The sequence below is a fragment of the Homo sapiens genome, chromosome 14 (assembly GCF_000001405.40).
Source record: "Homo sapiens chromosome 14, GRCh38.p14 Primary Assembly".
NCBI lineage: Eukaryota > Metazoa > Chordata > Mammalia > Primates > Hominidae > Homo > Homo sapiens.
The window spans coordinates 24,351,002-24,355,128 of record NC_000014.9 but is presented as its reverse complement, the minus strand read 5'-3'; the positions used below and the strand labels follow the sequence as shown (position 1 = coordinate 24,355,128).

Below are 4,127 nucleotides of genomic sequence, written 5' to 3'. Positions count from 1 at the left end.
TGGGCTCAAGAAATCCTCCCACCTGGCCACCTGGAACACCGCAATCCCAGCACTTTGGGAGGCCAAGGTGGGTGAATCACCTGAGGTCAGGAGTTCAACACCAGCCTGGCCAACATGGTGAAACCCCATCTCTACTAAAAATACAAAAATTAACTGGATGTGGTGGTGCATGCCTGTAATCCCAGCTACTCGGGAGGCTGAGGCAGGAGAATAGCTTGAACCCAGGAGGCAGAGGTTGCAGTGAGCTGAGATCGTGCCACTGCACTCCAGCCTGGGCGACAGAGTGAGACTCTCTCTCAAAAAAAAAAAAAAAAGAAAAGAAAAGAAAAAAAGAGAGAGATCCTCCCACCTCAGCCTCCTGAGTAGCTGGGATTACAGGTGTGCGCCACCACGCTGGGCTAATTTTTTGTATGCTTCAGCAGAGACAGGGCTTCCCCATGTTGGCCAGGCTGGTCTCAAACTCCTGACCTCAGGTGATCCACCCACCTCGGCCTCCCAAAATGCTGGGATTATAGGCATGAGTCACCATGCCTGGCCTCCTCTTCTTGTTTCAAATAGAAATAATCATAACTTTTATTCTTTCTTCTATTTTCTCCCTGTTATAAAGAGTTAATTAGTGTGGCTTCCTTAAAGAAAGGTAGATTCCCACAGAGATTCACATCATATGAACTAATAGATAGAAAGGAAACTTACAAACTAAACAAGCAAAAGAGGTTATGTCTTTAAAACAAAATCATGTCACTTCTCAGAATGTAAACTAAGGGCAGAATCTATTTCTGATTCATCTGTGTCTTTCCCTATTGCATAACAGAGTGCCTTGTGCTTTCCATGTGGTTAATAAATATTTGCTGAATGAGGGAGGAGGGAAGGAGGAAGGAAGGAAGAAAGGAAGGAGGGAAGGAAGGAAGGAAGGGAGGGAGGGAGGGAGGGAGGGGGAGAGGGAGGGAGGGAGGCTATTCCTCCCTTCTAGCTCATATTAACATACTTCCTTCTCCCGCATGATTCGCCATCATGCAGCCTGCTGTCTTCTCTCCTCCATCCCTGCTTCTCCCCAGGAACAATCTCAACCTCTTACCTTGCCCCTTCTACCTTGCGGATCCCTGTTCTATTGGTGTAACTTCTTGTTTCTCCAAATCTTTCAGTCAAAACTTCCTCCCTCTCACCTTACCTGAGACCTGGACATTCTCTCATAACCTTTGCACAGACAGGCCATCCTTTCACATAACAGAGAAGAAAGTGGAGTTTTCCTTTCCATGGCCTCATAGCAGCTTTCAGAATCACTCTTGATCATTTTCACTTAGAAACTCCTCTGAAGGTTGTGCCACTCATTTCATTCACTCATGCCACCCTGTCCCTATCTGAGTCATGGCCACCTGACAACCTAAAGGACTCCTCTGGTGGACTTTGGCCCCTGGCTCAGGGTGTCTCTCTACCTCATCCCTACCAGCCACCTGGGGACTAAGGCTATTCCAATACTCCAGGTTATGTTCCTCGATCTAATGACCCTTACATCTATAATTTAAAATACGCAACATACTGTCCACTTACCAGGGTTTAGGAATGCTCCATTCCATACTACCAAACTCTGAAATTACACTTTTTTTTTTTTTTTGAGATAGAGTCTCGCTCTGTCACCGAGGCTGGAGTGCAGTGGTGTGATCTCAGCTCACTGCAAATTCCGCCTCCTGGGTTCAAGCAATTCTCTGCCTCAGCCTCCCAAGTAGCTGGGATTACAGGCATGTGCCACCACGCCTGGCTAATTTTTGTATTTTTAGTAGAGACAGGGTTTCACTATCTTGGCCAGGCTAGTCTTGAACTCCTGACCTCATGATCCACCCGCGTCAGCCTCCCAAAGTCCTGAGATTACAGGCGAGAGCCACTGTGCCCAGCCTTGAAATTCCCCTTTTTGACCCAAACCTTGAGTTTCTGTGCCCTGCTCTCTCCTCACCAATTCTGATTTCCATTACTTTATTCTCCTAGACTAACAACCCCCTATTCCAGCGTTAGTGCTCTCCCTGTCCAACCTGGGATCCACGTGAGCCATTTCAAAAGTGTTTTCACAAGCAATCAAGATTTCCTCAGCCCTTAACTTTCCATCACTTCTCAAACTGAGGTAAGCCAAGCATGCATTTCTCTGCCTCCTGGTCTGGAGAAAGTTTCACAATCATGATGATTGATTCCATAATAAATCACTGCTTTCTAACTTCGGCTGGACCCTCGCTGCTGCTCCACAAACATTTTATCCATCTGTAGTTATCTCTAGCCGACTTCACCATGATCAACTAATTTGCATCAGATCAACCCTCTGAGAGCAACTACAAAAGCTGGGTACAGTTATTAAAAAAATTTTTATTTCAGTAGCTTTTGGGGTACAAGTGGTTTTGGGTTACATGAATGAATTGTATAATTGTGAAGTCTGAGATTTTAGTGCACCTGTCACCCAAATAGTGTACAACGTACCCAATATATAGCTTTTTATTCCTCGCCCCGCTCCCACCCTTCCCACATCTGAGTCTCCAATATCCATTATACCACTCTGTATGCCTTTGCATAGCTGGGTACAAATTTTTTTAAATATGTTTGAAGACAGTGGAAATTCATCAAGGCAGGAGGCTTTGAAGGGCCAACGTCCCAGAAGAAAGGGAAAGCATGTTGAGGTGAGGCCAACATTCTGCATGGTCTGTCCCATGGGGGATATTTATCGATTTGTGAGAGGCAGCCAGACTCAGCAGGAGATAGTGCCTAAGAGGTAGGAGGCTGAGAAGAACTTTCAGTAGTCTACAGTCCTGAGAAAACAAAAATGGGAATTTAGGACCTGTTAAGGAGGAAGGACCTGTTAAACACCACAGGATATCGTTAGCGTCCCTGAAGAACTATATTCTAGGACTAAAGCTGTATCGGTCAGGGTTTAATCAGGACACAGAAACCACACAGTCATTTGAAACAGGAACGTTTAATATAAACAAGTATTGTGCTCACTTTGGCAACACATATACTAAAATGATACAGAGAAGAATAGGATGGCCCCTGCACAAGGATGACATGCAAATTCATGGAGTGTCTCATATTTTTATTTGCAAAAATAAAATAAAGAAGCATTAACTCCAACAGGGTGTTGGCATACTAAGGGATTAGCTAGTAAGAAGAAATGAGAATTCCAAAGGACACAGGAACAGCAAATTTAAGAAAAACCCACTACTCCTAGGGCTGAAATAGCTGTGAAATTGGCCAAGCAGATGCCAAAGCAAGTTATTCATGGGGAGGTGCCTTAGCAGTTGCAACAGGCTGAGAAGTCACCCAGAAATGTGCCAGGGGAAGCTTTTGGCTGCTAGGCACTGCTGACCACTTTGCACTGCCTGAGTGTACACTGAAGAAATTGCACACGCTGCAGGAGTAAGGCAAAGGAGCAAACCAAAACCAGGAAGATGGACTTCTTCCTGCTCCAGTGTTCCTCCAGCACCCACTACTGACAGCGCTTAACACTATGCCAGCTGGCAAAAGAGAGATACGATATTCCCCCTTATCTGTGGGGATATGTTCCAAGACCCCTAGTGGAGACCTGAAACCACAGATAGCACCAAACTCCAGCCAAAGAACGCCAAAGTTACATTTTCTTTTCTTTTATTAGACAGGGTCTCACTCTGCCACCCAGGCTGGAGTGCAGTGGTGGGATCACAGCTCCTTGTAGCTTTGTTCTCCTGGGCTCAAGCGATCCTCCCACCTCAGCCTCCCAAGTAGCTGGGACTACAGATGTACGCCACCACACCCAGCTAACACATTTTCACTTAAAGCAGCACTTTATGGTTTCTTGTTGGCATATCCAAATTGTTAGCAACACTACTCTTTGCTTTGGGGCCATTATTAAGTAAAATAAAGATTACTTGAACACAAGCACTGAGATACCCGGACAGTCGATCTGATTACGAATACCAACACTAAGTGAATAACAGGCAGGTATCGTAGACAGCATGGATAATTCCCTTGATCGTTCTTTATACTTAACCTAACTTCCATCTCTTTCCCTCCCTTCACTACTAAACCTCTTCATTTTTTATTTGTTTATATTTATTTTTGCAAAATCAGAGTCTCCCTATGTGGCCCAGGCTAGTCTCAAGCTTCTGGGCTCA

General features: G+C 45.1%; 1 pseudogene; it reads left to right on the top strand.

Moving 5' to 3' along the window:
- Positions 1–2,971: 2,971 nt before the first annotated feature.
- LOC124903413 (uncharacterized) lies at positions 2,972–3,072 on the top strand (annotated as a pseudogene).
- Positions 3,073–4,127: the final 1,055 nt, after the last annotated feature.